Source organism: Homo sapiens, chromosome 6, assembly GCF_000001405.40.
Source record: "Homo sapiens chromosome 6, GRCh38.p14 Primary Assembly".
NCBI lineage: Eukaryota > Metazoa > Chordata > Mammalia > Primates > Hominidae > Homo > Homo sapiens.
In genome coordinates this window covers 161,353,533-161,373,361 of record NC_000006.12, presented here as the reverse complement: position 1 = coordinate 161,373,361, position 19,829 = coordinate 161,353,533, and the positions used below count along the sequence as shown (strand labels likewise).

Genomic DNA, 19,829 nt, shown 5'->3' with positions numbered 1-19,829 from the left:
ATGAGTTTCAGCCTAGCTGTGATGGGTAATTTTCTGTGTCAATGTAGCTGGGCCACACAGCCCAGTTGTTGGAACCAGCAGTAGTCAAGGTGTCGCTGTGAAGGTATTTTTGTAGACGTGGTTAACATCTATACTCAGTTAACTTTGAGGTCAAGGAGATGACCCTCTATAATGTGGGTGGGCCTCACCCAGTCCATGGAAGGCCTGACGAGCAAAGACCTCGGTTTCCCAGAGAAGAGAAAAATTCTGCCCTACCGAGTGTGGTGGTTCACACCGGCAGCCCCACACTTTGGGAGGCCAGGGTGGGAGGATCACTTGAAGCTAAGAATTCGAAACCAGCCTGGGCAACAAAGTGAGACCCCATCTCTACAAAAAATATTTTTTAAAGATCAGCAGAGGACAGAAGCATGTGCCTGTAGTCCCAGCTACTCGAGAGCCCAGGATTTCCAGGCTAGAGTGAGCTATGATCTTGCCACAGCACTCCAGCCTGGGCAACAGAGTGAGACCCTGTCTCAAAAAAAAAAAAAAAAAAAAAATAGGGTCTCTCTGTCTTTGTTGACCACAGTGTATGTAGACCTTCTGCGAGCAGTAGTTCTCCGAAGCTCTGCAGGCTAGCGACATCGGCATCACCTAGGAATTTGTTGAACTGCCAGTCCTTGAGCGCAATCCCAGACCTATGGATTCAGACCCAGAGGGGTAGTGGGGGAGCCACAGCACAAGCGCTTCCGGTGCCGCTGGTCTGAGAGCCGCCGTTCTGCTAATGGGGAAGCTCCACAAGGCAGGGATTGTTGGCTTGCTATTTGTCATCTCTCTTGTTTACTGGGATGTATCCCCAGGGTCCAGGACAGTGCCTGGCACATCTTAGACACCCAACACATGTTTCTTGAATGAAAATATTTCTGCATTCACTCTAGCAAAAATAATAGTCTACTTTGTGCCAGAATAACTATACTTTGCACAAAAGGTAGGCTCTGTGGTCGGCTTTGACCCCTCTCACATCCTATTAGTGATGATTCCGCATTCAGAATCCCATCTATGTGGATAATTTTGGTCACTGCTGACCTAAGCCAACCAAAAACTAGAGAATGTCATTATCAAAAATACAAATCAGCATATTTTCTAGCTCAAGTGTAGATTTTTCCCATATGTCAACTTGTAACAATAGTTGAACACAAAGCACTTTTAAAATAACCAATAAATGGTACCTATTAATAATTCTGCTACTTAATATTTATGTTGTTCCATTTCCCCCATTAATCTCAAAATAGGTTGATAGATATTATTTTAATTCACTTCCCCTTTAGGAAGCATTTAGGGCCCCATGGGGCAAGACTCTGTAAGATCTCGTCTGTGGCACTTGGCACACATTCCACTCCTAGCAGAAATCACCACTGTTAGAATCATTGTCAAAAATGCCCTTCTGGGCCAGGCATGGTGGCTCATGCCTGTAATCCCAGCACTTTGGGAGGCCGAGGCAGGCAGATCACCTGAGGTCAAGAATTCGAGATCAGCCTGGCCAAAGTGATGAAATCCCATCTCTACTAAAAATACAAAAATTAGCGAGGTGGGGTGGTGCATGCCTGTAATCCCAGCTACTCAGGAGGCTGAGGCATGAGAATCGCTTGAACCCAGGAGGTGGAGGTTGTAGTGAGCCGAGATTGTGTCATTGCACTCCAGCCTAGGTGACAGAGCAAAACTCCGTCTCAAAAATAGATAAATAAATAAAAACAAATGCCCTTCTGAATTGCATTCTAAAGCATGGCTTGGGGAGTTTGGAGCTTAGTGGAGTAGCCTTGTATTGCTTACAGTGTAGCCTTGTATTCCCCGGAGCCCTTGGCTAGACACCCCATTAAATCCCAACACTCTGATGATTTCTCTTAAAAAAAATAACAAAATAGGCCGGGCGCAGTGGCTCACACCTGTAATCCAAGCACTTTGGGAGACGGAGGCGGGCAGATCACCTGAGGTCAGGAGTTCAAAACTAGCCTGGCCAACATGGTGAAACTCCGTCTCCTCCCTCAGCCTCCCAAGTAGCCGGGTGTGGTAGCAGGCACCTGTAACCCCAGCTACTTGAGAGGCCGAGGCAGCAGAATCATTTGAACCCAGGAGGTGGAGGTTGCAGTGAGCGGAGATTTCACCATTGCACTCCAGCCTGGGCAACAGGAGCGAAACAACGTCTCAAAAAAAAAAATAACAAAATACATTTAAATATATACATATATACATATTCTCCAAAAAGAGATAGTCATAAGACAATGTGAGAACAACAAAACATGTTTTGGTGACACCCGTTGCCAAGCAGTAACGTTGACTAGCTCAAGGCCCCTGAAAAGTGATGCCATTTTCTTACTCACCAGCAGGAGGCGGGCTGCTCACACGCAGCAGTGCTCAACTGGCCCACCTGCTTGACTGAGCCAGGAAGGCTGCTGTCTGCAAAGGTGGAAGGTTTCAGTGTTTGTGAGAAGAGAGGCGAGCGTTGATGAGAAAGCTGACATTTAAAAGCTGTCATTCACCTGAAAGCATTCATAGCTGAATTAAGCCAACTCTGTTTTCATGATTAATGACAACTGCTCTTTTTTGGAAAACAGGCTTAAATGGATTTTTAGGATTAGAATAGACTTGTCTAATTATTGGCTACACAGGTGTCACAAATGAGTTTCTCTTAAAGCAGGAAAGATAACACATATGCAGTTCCTTAAGTTATTCTAGCTTCAATGTATATCAATGTGTCTCCTAGGCGCTAATTCGGCTTTTTTTTTTTTTTTTTTTTGACACAGAGTCTTGCTCTGTCGCCCAGGCTGGAGTGCAGTGGCGCGATCTCGGCTCACTGCAAGCTCTGCCTCCCAGGTTCACGTCATTCTCCCATCTCAGCCTCCCAAGTAGGTGGGACTACAGGTGCCTGCCACCACGCCCGGCTAATTTTTTTTTTTTTTTTTTGTATTTTGAGTAGAGATGGGGTTTCATCGTGTTAGCCAGGATGGTTTGATCTGACCTCGTGATCCACCCGCCTCGGCCTCCCAAAGTGCTGGGATTACAGGTGTGAGCCACCGTGCCCAGCCTAATTCAGCTTTTAAAACCTATATAAGTACATTTTGATTTACCAGTGGAGTTTTGTGTGTGTGTGTGTGTTTATAGAGACAGGGTCTCATTATATTGACCAGTCTGGCCTTGAACTCCTAGACTCAAGTGTTCCTCCTGCCTCGGCCTCCCATACTTGTGTTTTTAAAGGAGATTTAAGGCCAATCCAGGCCTTCAGTGGTCTTTTCCATGTGTACAAACTCCCACAGGGTCATATTCCCATCTCTTTAGAGATGATCGTGATGATTACAATAACAAAGTAATAATGGTGGTGATCATAGAAAACACACGGTTAGCATTCAGGGTGCACCTGGCTCTGTGCTAAGCCGTTTGTGTGTTGATCTTACTCACGATGACCCTTGTGAGGTTATTCCTCTTGAGCCACAGATGGACGATCATGCCTTTACCTTTCTGAGGGAATTTTGATTCTCTCTGTCTCTCTCTATATGTATATGAAATATATTTCCTATAATCATATGAAATATATATATGAAACATCTATATATAAGTATATTATAGATGTTTCATATATATATTTATGAAATCGCTATTTTCAGCCATGAAGTATATTAGGAGAGAGACTTGTCCTGTTCCACCCCCACCTCCACCACGCGTGCGTACACACATGCATGCATGCAATTCCTCCTGCCACGGGTGAGCAGTAGACAGGCACAGAATTCTATGCAATTACCTAACAGTTACACTGCCCCGTGAGAGCCACACTTTATTGCACAATCGGGCGGTGATGCTGAATCACAACAAAACCTTCCCCTCCTGGCAACACAATAAGCAGGCATTGCTTTAGAGCTTGATGACTAAGGCGGGAACAGAGGGTAAGTTACCCAGCTCACCATGTTCCTCTTCAGGCGCAAAGGGAGAATCGCCCTCCAGAGGATGAATGGTTCCCAAACCTCCCGCCCCTCGCAACCCCTTAGGGCATTTTTAGGGATTCTAATTTCTGTACCCCGCCACAGACCTACTGAATCCCAATCTCCAGAGTCTGGACACAAGCCTTGGGATCATTTTTAGAATCGCTTTGGTGATCTTGAACCTGTGGGCACCCAGCCACTGCTTGAGATCACTCCAGAAGGATTTAAACATCAGCATTAAGACACTCATGAAGGATGCAAAGCAAAGATGTGCTCCTCCTGGTAGAAATCCCCTCTCGGAAGTGGCAGTCAAAGGTCTAAACCAGTGGCCTGGGCACCGCCCACTCCCGGGGTGTCATAGAGCTGCTTCTCCTGCCCCCCAGGTCCCTGGGGCTGGCAGCAGTGGCAGCAGTCACTGGGTCTGGGACTCCCCTCCCTCCCCGTGGATCCGCTGGGTGAGGATAGGAAGCACAGGAAGAGCTGTGATGCTGAGAAGGGCAGGAACTCCAAGGGCCTTCTTGGTGACCCTTTCCCACATGTTAGGTGCAGTGGGACAGTTGGAGACAATGACAAAGAAAGGGCATGAGCTTTGGCAGCCGTGGCCTCCTGGTGTCCTTCTTGAAAGCACTTTCGGCAGGTTGGGGAAGGGAGAACCGGCCAGGCAGCAGCGATGGCCCAGGGCAGAAGGGCGGGTGGGCAGCTGGGAGTGGAGTTGCAGTGCTGGTGCCAGGGGAAGCAGGCAAGTGGAGGGCAGGTGAGCCACTGCAGTGAGGGGAGGGGGGCTGGGTGGCTTCTCCCACTGTCTTTACCACAAGCTGGGTGCTGGTGGTGGTGGTAGTTGCTTTCGTTGTTGTTGTTTTGAGACAGATTCTTGCCCTGTCGCCTAGTCTGGATTGCAGTGGCACCAGCTCGGCTCGGTGCAATCTCCACCTTCTGGATTCAAGTGATTCTCATGCCTCAACCTCCTGAGTAGCTGGGACTATATGTGTGCGCCACCAGGCCCAGCATATATATATATATATATATATATATCAAGACTGAGGTTGCTATATATATACACAAATATATATACAAATATATATACAAATATATATAAATATATATACAAATATATATAAATATATATAAATATATACATATATATAAATATTATATGTATTTTTAGTAGAGACAGGGTTTCACCATGTTTCGCAGGCTGGTCTTGAACTCCTGACCGTCGCACTGGCCTCCCAGAGTGCTGGGATTACAGGTGTGAGCCACTGCGCCTGGCCACAAGCTGTTTGAAAACTGTGCTCTCAAAAGTCCCCGGGGACTTCCAGATCTCCATGACAGCATCTTAGCCTTAGTCCCTTAGCCCTCTTTGTAGCATGTGACTTGATAATGACAGGAAGAAATCAAGGCTGCAGGGGCCTGGAGTATGAACCCAGGCAGCTCGGGGCTCCGATTCTGAACCGACTGCTCGCAGGCCAGGCGGCCTGGGTCTGAAGTTATTTAGTTTTCTGAGACTGATCTCTCCAGCTGAAATAGTTAATGACAAGCTCCGTCCTTCAGGGATGCGCAGTTACTACATTCTGTGATGTGGGCAGAGCCCCTGCCGCACAGTGCCCTTCCTCATGTAACAGAAGCGTCCTTACTTCTTCAAAGCCTTCCCCTCCTGGGCAGCAGGGTCTCGGACCCGCCGGCCGCCCCTCCCTCTAACACCCTGCAGCTGTCCCAGCGCCATGCCTACACAGCTCTGTGTTAGCCCGTGCCGAGGTCTGAGTCATCAGATTAATGGGAAAATCAGCACAAGTAGCGTTTGAGGAACAGAATGCCATGTCGTTCATTGGGAAAGGAATGCTGAACTTTGACTTCTAAGTTAGATAACAGAACTGCTTCATGCCCTATGGAGGAATAAAACCATAACCTTTGAGCACATACTGTCTACCAGAAAAAAAAAAAAAAGAAAAGACACATCTTATTAGTTTTCTACACCGTAACCCCTAACTCTCCAATCAAGGCCAAGATCTGCCTGGGCCCTTGACAGTCCCAGGAGGTCAGCGTGAACCCCACCCCCACTGCAAAAGAAAGTGGGTAGCTGTCCTGCCGGCTAAAACACCCTCCCCTAGCTTGGTACTGTTAAAACTTCAGACACGGCCGGGCGCGGTGGCTCACGCCTGTAATCCCAGCACTTTGGGAGGCCGAGGCGGGTGGATCACAAGGTCAGGAGATCGAGACCATCCCGGCTAACATGGTGAAACCCCGTCTCTACTAAAAATTAGCCGGGCGTGGTGGCGGGCGCCTGTAGTCCCAGCTACTCGGGAGGCTGAGGCAGGAGAATGGCGTGAACCCGGGAGGCGGAGCTTGCAGTGAGCCGAGATCACGCCACTGCAGTCCAGCCTGGGCGACAGAGCCACACTCTGTCTCAAAAAAAAAAAAAAAAAAAAAAAAAAGGAAACAAAAAAACCCCAAAAAACTTCAGACACATTAAATCTAGCAGAGTTTAATTGAGCAAGAAAAAAAACAAAAAAGCGATTCGTAAATTGGGTAGCCTTCACAATTACAGCAGATTCAGAGAGACTCCAAGGGTGCCTCGGGGTCAGAACAAATTTATAGACAAAAAGGGAAGTGATGGACAGAAATCGGAAGTCAGGTACAGAAACACCCGGGCTGGTTACAAGTTGGTGTCGGCCTCATTTGAACACAGTTTGAACACTCAGCAGTGTATGAGTGGCTGAAGCATGGCTGCTGGGATTGGCCAAGACCCAGCTGTTGTTACAGTTGCATACTCTAGAGTTAGACTTTCAATCTTGTCTACATATTAAGTCAGACACACTCCTAAGTTGGGTTTTCAATCTTGGCTAAGTTCGACCACAAGGACTCAAATACAGAAGTACGGAGTCCTTCTTAGGCCATACTTAGTTTGCTTTAACAGTATTAAAAACCATTTTGCGACATCAGCATTTTGGTCTTTTCCTAGGGTTTGGGGTATTTTCTCTTCCCTAGGCTTTCTTCTCTGTCTCTGACCTTCAGTGTGGGCATCTCCATGAGGGGGTCCTTGACTCCTTGGCTCACGTGTGCCTCGGCCCCTCAGCAGCTCTGGTGTCCTGTGGACATGAGGGTGCCTCTTAACCCACGCTGCTGCCCATGGCTTACAGGAACCAAAGCTCAGCCCAGGAAGCCTCAACCTCAGGCTCTAGATCTGGGGAGGTCTCTCTTCCTGCAAACTGCTGGCATCTCACTGCATCTTCTCACAGTGGAAGAGGCAAGAGAGCTCTCTGGGGTTGCTTTAATAAGGGCACGAATCCCTTCATAAGAGCTCCACCCTCATGACCTAATCACCTCCCAAAGGCCCCACCTTCCAGTAGCATCACCTTGGTGGGTAGGATTTCAACATATCGATCCGGGGAAGAAGTAACATTGGCCCAGTTGCAGAGTCTGTGAAGGAAATGATAAGGGTACATATCCTTGCAGGTGAAAACAGAAATTGCTGCTCTCAATTTTCCCTCTTCCAGTCTAAGGATCAAACCCTCCTAGCTACCTCCCTCTCCCCTGAGTGAACTGGCCCATCCAGTAGCTCAGTGCACACTAGTGTGGAAATGTTTACACGGGTAGTCTTTTGTAATCACTCCTAGGTATTAAACTTGCAGTGTCCTGATTTGAAGGACGCTTGCTGCTGGAGGTGTTACATCCAGAGCCGTTTGGGGAAATCCTAGTGGCTTTCTGGTGGGCCTGCAAGTTATACCCACTCTGCCTTGTGTGCTCGGGGGATCGGAAGTCAGAGAAAATTGGTATTTTGAAAAGTAATTATTTCTCTTCTTTTGCTGTAACTTTAATCTTTCTTCCTGGACAGAACAAAGCATATTAATATAAATTTGCAATTTTCCAGTTTGTAATTCCTCTCCAGTAATGTGCTATTGACAGGCAGGAGGTTTCTTCAAGTTGAGCTCTGAATCTTTCTCTTGGGCTGAGTATAACATCCTTTGTTAGAATAAACATTGTATTCGCCCAGTTGAAAATGCTCTTAACTTGGCAACATGTAACAAAGGCTTTAGGTGTGCACACACCTGAGCCAGAAACTTCAGCCCCTGAGTGCTCCTCTTGCAGACAAGGCCTCCCAGATAAGTGCTAAGACTCTAGAGTTTAGCAAGACCTGCCCTCAATGATAATCTGTCCACACGGGTTGGGAGTGCTGGGATATTTGCAGTCATTTCTGCCATTTTATTTTATACTTTCTATTACATTCTACATTTCTATAGTTTTACTTTTACTTCTTGCCTTTCTTTTGACTCTTTTGTTTGCCATTTCCACTGTATTTTTCCTTGTTTAGAAGCAAATTGCTTTCTCTTGTATTGATTACCCTAGAATGTAAACATATATTAATGTAAAAAAATCTAAGGACCCTCTGCCTGAATCATGCCAGCGCATTAGAATCATCCAATTCTCACACTTCTGTGCTATTCTTGTCCGGCATCTAGTTCTACTCTGATTTTTTTTTTTTTTTTGAGACAAAGTCTCACTCCGTTGCCCAGGCTGGAGTGTACTGGCACCATCTCGGCTCACTGCAACCTCCACCTCCCAGGTTCAAGCAATTCTCCTGCCTCAGCCTTTCGAGTAGTGTGGGCACCACACCCAGCTACTTTTTGTATTTTTAGTAGAGACGGTTTCGCTGTGTTGGCCAGGCTGATCTTGAACTCCTGACCTCAGATGATCCACCCGCCTTGGCCTCGCAAAGTGCTAGGATTACAGGCGTGAGCCACCACACACAGCCTACTTGGATTTTTTTTTTTTAACCAGCAAATTAAGCATCGTTTACAGTTTTAGACAATCAGTATTTCCTGTGATTTACCATACGTTACCCATTTTCTTTTTCTTTTCTCACAGTTTCTTCTTGCAGCTCCTGGCTCCTTCTGGACTTTTCCTATTTCCATGTTTCTTTTTTTTTTTTTTTTTTTTTTTTTTGCGGGGCGGGTGGTGGCAGATGGAGTCTCGTTCTGTTGCCCAGGCTGGAGTGTAGTGGTATGATCTCGGCTCACTGCAACCTCCGCCTCCCGGTTCAAATGATTCTCCTGCCTCAGCCTCCTGAGTAGCTGGGACTACAGGCACCCACCACCGCGCCCAGCTAATTTTTGTATTTTTAGTAGAGACGGGGTTTCACCATGTTGGTCAGGACGGTCTCAAACTCCTGACTTGGTGATCTGCCTGCCTTGGCCTCCCACATCCATGTTTGTTTGTTTGTTTTCTTTTCTTTTTTTTTTTTTTTTTTTGAGACGGAGTCTCCCTCTGCTGCCCAGGCTGGAGTGCAGTGGCGTGATCTCGGCTCACTGCAAGCTCAGCCTCCCGGGTTCACGCCATTCTTCTGCCTCAGCCTCCTGAGTAGCTGGGACTACAGGCGCCCACCACCATGCCCAGCTAATTTTTTGTAATTTTTTGTATTTTTAGTAGAGATGGGGTTTCAGCATGTTAGCCAGGATGGTCTCAATCTCCTGACCTCATGATCCGCCTGCCTTGGCCTCCCAAAGTGCTTGGATTACAGGCGTGAACCACCACATCCGGCCCCAAATCATGTTTCTTTAATGAACTTCTGTTGATGGGAAATGCTGTTTTTTATTACTGTGTTTTTATTTATGCTCATTCTTAAAAATTAATTTTGCTTGGATAGAATTCTAAGTGGGCTGGTATTTTCTGTCAGTGCTTTGAAGATACCATCACTGTCTGCCAGCACCCATGCATTAAGAAATCAGCTGGGGGGAATAATTGTAACTTCTTTGTAGATAATTTGTGTGTTTTTTTGCCACTCTCTCCAAACACTGTTTCTCTCTCATGCTCTTTGTTATCTCCTTCCAGAACTCTACTTAGAAAAACACTGGACCTTCTCACCTTATCCCCCCATCTCTTAATCTCCTTTTCATATTTTTTACTTCTTGGCATTTTATGTAATTTCTTCAGCTCCATCTTTCAGTTCACAAATTCTCTCTTCATTTGTATCTAATTTGTTATGTAACTCATCAACTGAGTTTCTAATTTTAATTATTAGTGTTTCATGTCCAGAAAAATGGACAAAACAAAGAAATTTGTTTCTTTTTTACATCTCCCTGGTTAATTGTGACAGTCTCTTATTCCATTATCATCACCTTTATTTATTTATTTAAATATAACAAACATATTTAGTTTATACTCAGTTAAGTTTTTTTGAGACAGAGTCCCACTCCATCACCGGGACTGGAATGCAGTGGCAAAATCTCGGCTCACTGCAACCTCTGCCCCCCAGGTTCAGGTACTTCTCCTGCCTCAGCCTCCCAAGTACCTGGGACTACAGGTGCACACCACCACGCTTGGCTAATCGTTGTGTTTTTAGCAGAGACGAGGTTTCACCATGTTGGCCAGGCTGGTCTTGAACACCCGGCCTCAAGTGATCCACCTGCCTCAGCCTCCCAAAGTGCTGGGATTACAGGTGTGAGCCACCATGCCTGGCCAGTACTCTGTCTCTGGCCATTCCAATATCTACAACCTTTGCTGGTTAGATTCTGTAGTTTCTGTAATTCTGTGACTTTCACTCATGTAGCTAGTTTTCTCCTGTATTAGGTGACTTTTTAACTTTTTTATTATGATCCCAGATTTCTTAGAATTTTATTTGTGTAATTTCCTTGAGGTTTGGCTTTTTAAAGTGCTGTGCTCCACAAAAGATATTTTTGCTTCCGCCTGGTTCCAGGGTATATGCCAATCTGGTAATATTTCAAATTAATTTTTGACTTGAGGTTTTTTAAAGCTAATCAGATAGGATGAATTCTTTTCACCAACCCTCGTGTCCGAGGCCTGATGGTTAGGAATGTTCAGAAAAATGTTTTCCAAACCTGCTGCCTCACAGAACCCAGCCTGAGACCAGCACATATCTGTCAATTATCTCTTCAGGGCGGGCTTTTGCCCTGGCTTCCTCCACTGAGAACGTCACCCTCAGGAGTCCAGGTCCTCTGTGTGTAGTAAAACTGGATTCCACCTCCCACCTGGCTCTGGCTGGAGGCTTTGTCTCCTGCCTGTGCCCTTAGGGCCTGGGAAGACCCAGATGATGGGCAGCGCGGGACTAAGAAGATAGCCCCACAGCAAATGCCAGGTTCCTTCCTCCCGAACCAGGAGGATTTGCTGTCTTTAAGGGTTTCCTTTGCCTTCCCACCCTATCAGCCGTACGTTTAAAAAAGATTTTTTTCCATATTTGATCCAGCATTTTTAGGTGTGTGGACCTGGGAGAAATTGCCCTTCACATGCAGTATGCCATGTTGCTAAAAAATGGCATTTTGAAATTATTTTCTGATAAGTAAAATTGTATTTTTCTCCAATTTGTATGACTTACCAACTTGCCACCAACAAGCAATCTAAACCATTGCTGCAGAGCTACAGAGCCCTAGACCTGAAAAAGAACAGCGTGGAACATGAGGCCGGGGTGGCGTTGGGGTGCAGGTCGGTGGGGGGATGGGTGTTTGCCACGTGTCACTGACGGTTAGGACCACCCAAGACTCTGTGGTGACTGGAAGGCGTGCCATGAAGATGCATACCTAGTTACCAAGTTGTGAAATGGCCCTCACTAACCACAGCGCCCTCACTGGGCCTCTGCCGTGAGTGGATCTTAGCAAAGGAAGCACTCATTGACCTACCGTTGCCTCCGAGCAGCTGACTCCACGTTATTCTAGCAAAGTATTCACAAATCACGTGACACCCTGGCAGTTCTCAAGGGTGTTTCCTTTGTGCCCATGATGGCTCATTAACAGAAACGAAATTGGCTTCACCCAGTGACCAGCCCTAGGCAAAGCTTGTCTGTGGTGCCCCCACCACTGTCAGGGATACCACCCATGTGCCCTGCCCATTTCACGGGGTCCTATTTTGGATGTTTGGTAACCCCTGAAAGTTTAGTGGTAACCCCTGAAAGTTTGGTAACCCCTGAAATTTGGTAACCCCTGAAAGTTTAGTGCCTTCCTGGGCTGCGTCATTCATTCATTCACTTGCCTGAAATGTACTGATCGCCTGCTGTGTACCAGATTCTATGCCAGAAACTGGGGATATGAGGATGTCTCAAATGTGATCTTGGCTCTGGAAGAATTGACTTTCCACAGAAATAACAGAAACATGAACACTAATTCCTAAAGAAACTATTAAATGCAGTACAGTTATTTTCCTCATAATACTTCATCTATAAAGACTCAAAAACTTTAACATTTCAAAAAGGCTTGGAATTCGAAAGTGAAATGACAAAGTTTGGATTCATGTTTTTGGTGATGCTGCATCTTATCTGGGGATAATCAGCGAATGGCTGGTCCTTAAGGTCACAGATGTCAAGCACAGCTAGCCCAGGACCTCTTGCTTCCACCCCCACCAGAAAACCTCCTTATACATGATGGTGCAGGCAGCACCCAGCTCTCGGTGACATGAATAATGTCAGCAAATGTATTAAAAGCTTGCCACACTGGAGTCATTCTGAGTCTTTGAAGAAATTAACTCATAGAATCCTCCATACCCCCAATGCACAAGGTGTTTCATCTGAGAGATAAAGACTGTCAGAGAGCTTAGGGAATGTTTCCAGAGTCACCCGTCTGGGTAGAGCTGGGATTTGAACCAGACAGCTGGTTCCAGGGCCACAGTCTTCACTCACAGCTCCCACTGCCCTCTCTGGCACATCGACTTCATTTCCTGTTCTTGCTCCTGTCCCTTCTGTGACAACATTTGGAGTTCCCCATTTGCCAGGTGCAAGGAAGGATAACAAGATGTAGAGCAAAGTTTAAAAGCAAAGATTCCAGAGTCACACTGATACTCCCACTTACCAGCTTTGGGCCATGTTTTCACCCATCGAATCCTCAATGTGGAATAAAAACTAGATCCTCACTTCACATCTGATGAAGTGTCTAATGAGAAGTGTATTTGAGCATTGATCACCTTGCCTGCATTTTAAGCACCTGATAGGTGTTATTTATTACAATTATGCAAAACAACAGAATAGAGGAGCTCACACTACAAAACCAAACAATCTCTTCCCCGCTCCTACGCATACGCCACATGCCAGGGAGAGTGTCCCCATCCGCCTAGTAGCTGTCTAGCATTTGTCAAGTGCATTGATATTTAGGCTTCTTGCCCGAAGGCACTCCTGTCTTCAAGAATTTCCTGTACCGACGTACAGGGAACATAAACTCTGATCCCAGTAATAGAAAGCTGAGATTAAACGCCTTTCCTCTTTGTTTCCCCAGGCCTACAGAGTCGATGAAAGAGCCGCCGAGCAGGCTCGTTGGGAAGCAGCCTCCAAAGAAACCATCAAGAAAACCACCAAGCCCTGTCCCCGCTGCCATGTACCAGTGGAAAAAAATGGTGAGTCTGTGCTGAGCAGAGAATGAGGATGTCGTGTGCTCTTTGGGGGAGAATCATACCCATCAGGGATTCCAGGATTAAAGGAGATGCTGTCTGAAGGTGCCTGGTGTGTTGGGTAACCCCTCGATTAATGTTACCCATTATCACTATTATTATTGTTTTTGTTACACAGAAATATTTAATGAGTGAGTAGTTCCATGGCTATGTGAGGCACACAGTTAGCATTTATGTGGTTGGAAAGGGAATAAATATAGAAACTAGAACCAAGATATGGAAAGTGGTTGAGGATAAGTGGCAGTCAGGAGGCAGCTGTGGTTTTTCTGTCCTCCCTGGTGACCTTCCCCAGCGCTGATGGCTGCACCGTATGACCCTGTTGTCTGCCGGCCGTCAGTCTGTAGCCTTCCCCAGCTTTGCAACATTATTCAAAATTAAACCCTCGTCTATATTTAAAGATCCCTGTGGCCTGCCCCTGATGACTCACAGTACCAGTGGGGGACTTCCTGCTGTCTATCCTGGACATGCCACTCAGGGCAAAGCCATCACAACCAGTGGTCCGAGAGCCCTTTCTCAATGTGATGCACTTGTACGTGTGCAAGGCAGAGTCAGCGGCACCATCACAGATGAGCAATGACACGAAGCCAGGCGCAGCCTCTCCCAGCTTCTCCTTAATGAGCATCAGCTACGCCCTGGCTGGCAGGTTGCCCAGAGCTGACTTGCGGGAGGGAAGCCCGGCCATCCCAGGATGGGCACTCAAGCCTCTCTCTTTTCAGTTATGTCCTTCAGGAAGTTTTCATTAATACAAACAAGACGGTGCTTGAACACATCCCAGAGCCGCAGGTGCTGGCTTAGCTCAGTACAAGTCCTTAGTGCTGTATCAGTGGCTTCCTGCAGAGAAAATAAATAATTTACCCAGCGTGTCCTTATTACTCCATTGCATGCAGCAGTGCTCCTAGAAAATGAAGGGATTGGCATGCACCTATAAAGAGCAGAAGGCGGCCGGGCGCGGTGGCTCACGCCTGTAATCCCAGCACTTTGGGAGGCGGAGGCGGGTGGATCACAAGGTCAGGAGGTCGAGACCATCCTGGCTAACACAGTGAAACCCCGTCTCTACTAAAAATACAAAAAATTAGCCGGGTGTGGTGGCGGGCGCCTGTAGTCCCAGCTACTCTGGAGGCTGAGGCAGGAGAATGGTGTGAACCCGGGAGGCAGAGCTTGCAGTGAGCCGAGATTGCACCACTGCACTCCAGCCTGGGCGACAGAGTGAGACTCCATCTCAAAAAAAAAAAAAAAAAAAAAAAAGAGCAGAAGGCACTGATGGGATGGAAGGAAAGAGCTTCTCTAGTCTCCACCACCACTGGGTGCACTGGGAAGTGGGAGGGAAAGAACACGGAAGGGCCCTTCCCAGGAGAAGATATGTGATGGTTTGGGATAAACAGGCCTGGTATTTCGCTGACAAGGGTGTAAAGCACAGAGATTAGACAGTCTTGATCTGTAGCCCAGGCTGGGGTGCAATGGCGTAATCTCGGTTCACTGCAACCTCCACCTCCCGAGTTCAAGAGATTCTCCTGCCTCAGCTTCCCAAGTAGCTGGGACTACAGGTGTACGCAACACACCCAGCTAATTTTTATATTTTTTAGTAGAGACGGGATTTCACTATATGTCGGCCAGGCTGGTCTCGAACTCCTGACCTCAGGTGATCTACCCGCCTTGGCCTCCCAAAGCCAAGCTGGGATTACGGGTGTGAGCCACTGTGCCCGGCCTTAATTTTTGTTTGTTTTGTTTTTTAATAATAATTCTCAAGGTTGGTGAGGACATCATAAGTTAGCGTAACTTTTCTGGAAACCACTTTGGCAATACCTATATAAAGACTTTATATTATTTGACCCAATAATTCTACCTTTGAAAATCTATCCTAAAGGACTAACCTGAAATATATAATAGGCAAACACACCCACACCCCCACACACATTTTAGGAAAAAAGGTGCCAACTGCAGCATTATTTATATTAGCGTAAACTGAAAATCATCGAAGTGTCTAAAGGCCTCAGTATGAGAAAGATTGGTTTATTTTGTGATAAATCGGTGGTAAAGCTTCACACAGCCCGGCACTGCAGTGTTGCAGGAGTTAGGACTCTGCCATGGACTGTGGCTGTGTGAGCACCAGTTTGCTCGTTCATAAGATGGGTTTCAATGGGACTTCCTCACAGCATGGGCAGGAGGAGTAACAGAGACGGTGCATCAAACACGCTCCGTGAGACGTGCTCTGATTCGTGTGGATGAAGGTTATGAAGGCATGGCGGAAAGGTTTACATCCATCCTCAGTGAGAAATCAGAATTTCAAAGCAAGTGGCACATATGTCTGTTTTGAAACAAATGTGTGTGTGGGAAAAAATAGAATCAGAAGAAAAAGACTGGAAACAAGATGTTACCATGTCATAGTGAGTAGCTCTAGGCATAACAGGACCAAAGAGGACTTTATTTCTTTTTATGCTTTTCTGTAATAAACATGTGTGACGTATAACCTTAGAAAATTAGTAAAAATCAGCCAGGTCTCTGTCTGCAGTGGGGAGGGAAAGGGGATCCTTAAACACCCACCCATGTTCCCACTTCTGGCAGGCGTCACAGGCACGGCAGGTGGAGAATTTACCCAGCAGGTCTGGGGTCCATGCCTTAGTGGCCTCCTCGGTAGCCCAGACTCTGGTGGTGGCAGTTTGCAAGATAAGAAGTGGTCAGCGAGGCTGGGAGTGGTGGCTCACACCGGTAATCCCAGCACTTTGGGAGGCCAAGGCAGGCGGATCACCTGAGGTCAGGAGTTCGAGACCAGCCTGGCCAACATGGCGAAACCCCGTCTCCACTAAAAATAGAAAAGTTAGCTGGGCATGGTGGTACATGCCTGTAGTCCCAACTGCTTGGGAACCTGAGGCAGGAGAATTACTTGAACCTGGGAGGCGGAATTTGCAGTGAGCTGAGATCATGCCATTGCACTCCAGCCTGAGTGACAGAGCAAGACTCTGTCTCAAAAAAAAAAAAAAAAAAAAAGGAAGTGGTCAGCGAACCTGGACCTGTTGCTTTCTGTTTCTCTCCTCCGTGGTTGTTTGGTTCAGCACTTACTGTCGGCTTGTGGGGACACCTGAGACACTTCACCTTTGTGACACATAACATACAGCCCAGTCTTGTGGCCTTAAATACTATCCACATACTGATGGCTCCCAAATCTACACCCCACCCTCATCTCGCCCCTCGGTCCGACTCCAATAGCCAGCTGCTTCCTTAGTGTCTCCACTGATTGTTCAATGGACAGCTCAAATTTCACAAAGCAGAGTGCTAGCTGCTCCTAGAAAACCTTTTCCTCTAGGGTGCACCCCACCTCAGTCAACAGCACCGCCCAGTTCCTCAAGCCGCTAAGCTAAAGCTCATCCTTCATTCCATGCTCTTCCTCACCCTGCATTCAATCCCCGGTCACCACGGCCTTCCCCGTGCTCTGATCCAGCGTCTGCCCACCTCTGACTCCACGTCCCCAGCCAGTGCCCTGCTTGCCCGCCTCCTCTTCCAAGCACAGCTTCCCAAAAGGGCTCTCGCCTCCACTCTCGCATATTTATGATCCGTCCTCTACATAGACGTGTAGACTTCTCAAAGGCCATGTCAGTCCTGCCCTTCCCCCCGGGGGTCCCCACTGACATTGCAACCACACAGTCCCGCTCCTCTCCCCAGGACGCTTCTGTGTCGTCACTGCCCATGGCTGGCTCCTTCCTGTCCTTCAGATCTTACCCCAGCTGACCTCTTCTCAGTCAGACCGCCCCTTACCACCCTGCCAAAGACCCCTGCCCTCCTGTTGGGGGGCACTGTCAACACCATCCCATCTCTCGAGGGGGAGGCACTGCCATTCCCTCTGCAGGGGGCCTGCCTGTGGATGGCCTTGAGCCCTCTGGGAAATCACCTCTGCCAAGACAATTAGTTCTGGCTCCCTCCCCTTCCCCGGAGAGCTCATGTCCCATGACTACTGGTTGGTCATAATACCCAACCCACTAACGAAATTCAGGACCACCCTGAGAGCTGCCCCATCCCCAGAGCTCCTGGACGTCAGCTCAGGCCTCTTAGGCTGTGCCCGAGCTGGGCTTCTCCTCTGCCCAGTCTGCCCTCCTCCCTTTCCATCTCAGTGTCTGCTTCCCCCTTTACCCAACGAGTCCCACCCACCAGTTTAATAATAATTTCATAGCACCACTTCCTTCCCAGATCATTGCTTAATTTGTTCATTTACATGTTCCCCATCTGTCGCTCTTTAGAACATAAGCCGGTGAGATCAGGGACCTTGACCGTCTAGGCTCCAATCCCAGAAGAGAGCCCGGACAAAAAATATTTGCTGAATTAAAACTTAGCTTGTAGGCCGGGCGTGGTGACTCACGCCTGTAATCCCAGCACTTTGGGAGGCCGAGGCTGGCAGATCGCTTGAGTTCAAGAATTCAGGACCAGCCTGACTAACATGGTGAAACCCTGTCTCTAGTAAAAATACAAAAAAAAAATAGCTAGGTGTGGTGGCAGGCACCTGTGATCCCAGCTACTCGGGAGGCCGAGACACAAGAATTGGTTGAACCCAGGAGGTGGAGGTTGCAGTGAGCCAAGATTGCACCATTGCACTTCGGCCTGGGTGACACAGTGAGACTCCGTCTCAAAAAGAATAAATAAAACACAAACACACAAAAACTTAGCTTGTAAAGTTTAGAGATATACACATAAACCGATCTTTTTAATAAAATAACATAGAGGAAGCAAGCTATCAGGGCACACAGACCCGGAGGAGGAGGCTTCCTGGAAGAGATGATACCAGCCAAGAATTGAAGAATGAGCAGATATGAGCAAGGCAAGGAAGAGCAGGAGGAGGCGTCCTAGGCCCCAGGACTGCATGAGCAAAGACACCGGGTGTGCGCGCGCCGGTGTGCGGAGGCAGCCCCTGCTGCTCGTGTTCCAGGCACCGCACGCAGGAGCCTCAGCTGAAGCAGTAGGTAGGATGCAGAATTGAGGTCCCTGAATGGCAGGTTTGGGGCTTGGACTTGATCCTGTGAGGCAGGCAGATATTCTAGGATGAGAAGCAGGAAAATTATTCATCGGATCTGCCCTGGACTCAGAACATGCTGGCAGCCTCCAAAGATGGAGTTGTAGGAGTCAAATGGTTCGTGACTGTAGGAAAGTTTCTCCCTGTCGGGCTATTTCTTGGAAATATTGTGATGTACTATAAATGAAAGCACTAATTTTTTACCTCCAAATTTTTAACTTACAAACAGAAAAGCTGAGACTTGAAGCTTATTAGCGATGGCCTAAACTGTTTAAAAGTGCATCACTGTAACCGAAACCGACATAGCCTCTATGACCAAGGATGTTACCTGGTTGTCACCAAGGTTCGTGGCCTGTTACATACTCAGCTGTGTTTCAGGAATGCCCTTCCTCCCTCAGAGAAGCTGAAATGAGAATGCGAGGAATTTCCATTTTAAGCACAGGCTAAACCCTGGTACTTTCTCCTATAATCCACTCCAGTCTCCAGAAATTTCTTCACTTCCATCTCAAGCAGATGAAATTCTGGCTCCATTCCCTGACTGAGTGTGTGCTTCTCCTCAAATGTGCCTTCAGGTTGTTCAGGGACTTCCACGCTCTCATTAAATCTAGTGGAAGAATTGCTGGCCGGAGCCACGATGTCGACTGCCCGGCGTAGGCTGAGCTTTTCATGGTTTGAGTGTCCATCTGCAGACAGAACTCACTACAAAGGAAGCCATATTCCCTTCATGTCTATATCCACAAATCTGCGTGAAGTTTCAGCTGCTTCCTGGATGCACTTACTTTTAAGCTGGCAAAGCTTTTAGAATTGCGGTCCTCCATGCTCCTCCATGGCCTGGGTCTAGCTCTATGGCCTTGTGTATATTAAGCCCTAGGGAGAAAAGAAAGCTAATGACGTGAATATCTTCTCTTCCCATTTCCATTCTTACTGTACCAGGCCATTGTAATTCTAGCTTCTGTACCAAGATATCATTTACAATGCTAGTATCCCAGATTCATTAAATGCTTGGTATTAATTTTTGGCATTCGGTCTAAGTGTAGAACAAACAACATGCTTCTTCTATTCTCTCATTCAATAACAACAGTCAGCACAGAAGACTTCTGTGACGGAATGTGCGGGGGTTTTTCCCCACGCACCAAGCAAGCAATCAGTTCTGCAGTGGACACCGGCTGAGTGTCCTGCTCTTCAACCCTGGCGCTGTCTACCAGGAAATAGTGTCTGATCCCTCAGGCTGGGGGCTCAGTCCCACAGGACTGCCACTCACCGGTCTCAAGTCTGGGCTTCCGGAAGTTCTGATCGACTGGCTTCAAGTTGAGATTCCCATGACTCCCTCTTTGGGTTCTGTTATTTGCTACAGTGGCTCACAGAACTCAGGGAAACACATTTACCAGTTTATTATAAAGGATATTACAAAAGATACAGATGAAGAGATGCAGAGGGCGAGGTATGGGGGAAGGGTCGCGGAGCTTCCAAGCCTTCCCTGGGTGCTCCGCCCATCAGAAACCTCC

General features: G+C 47.3%; 1 protein-coding gene and 1 long non-coding RNA gene across 7 annotated transcripts in view, besides 2 other annotated features; one reads left to right on the top strand and one right to left on the bottom strand.

The window, feature by feature from the left end:
* The window catches only part of PRKN (parkin RBR E3 ubiquitin protein ligase), a 1,380,350-nt gene that overhangs the window by 1,354,405 nt on the left and 6,116 nt on the right, over window positions 1-19,829 (top strand). For all 6 annotated transcript variants that reach the window (XM_024446449.2, NM_013988.3, XM_011535863.2 and 3 more), the window contains one exon: window positions 13,157-13,274. In XM_024446449.2, the coding sequence (XP_024302217.1) occupies window positions 13,157-13,274 (118 nt within the window). The remainder of the gene's footprint in view (window positions 1-13,156; window positions 13,275-19,829) is intronic.
* Window positions 16,271-16,565: an enhancer, noted in NCBI's record as "tiled region #4750; K562 Activating DNase matched - State 5:Enh". NCBI's record gives its function as "activates a minimal TATA promoter and a strong SV40 promoter by Sharpr-MPRA in K562 cells {active_cell/tissue: K562}" and the evidence as "EXISTENCE:reporter gene assay evidence [ECO:0000049][PMID:27701403]".
* On the bottom strand, window positions 18,000-19,683 carry LOC124901457 (uncharacterized). The gene is made up of 2 exons (XR_007059862.1): window positions 19,586-19,683; window positions 18,000-19,191 (listed from the first exon to the last, which is right to left on the bottom strand). It is a non-coding gene; the product is annotated as an uncharacterized LOC124901457 (long non-coding RNA).
* Window positions 18,208-18,708: an enhancer, noted in NCBI's record as "H3K4me1 hESC enhancer chr6:161775686-161776186 (GRCh37/hg19 assembly coordinates)". NCBI's record gives its function as "activates a minimal SCP1, AML or CMV promoter by ChIP-STARR-seq in naive H9 embryonic stem cells {active_cell/tissue: H9 hESC(naive)}" and the evidence as "EXISTENCE:reporter gene assay evidence [ECO:0000049][PMID:30033119]".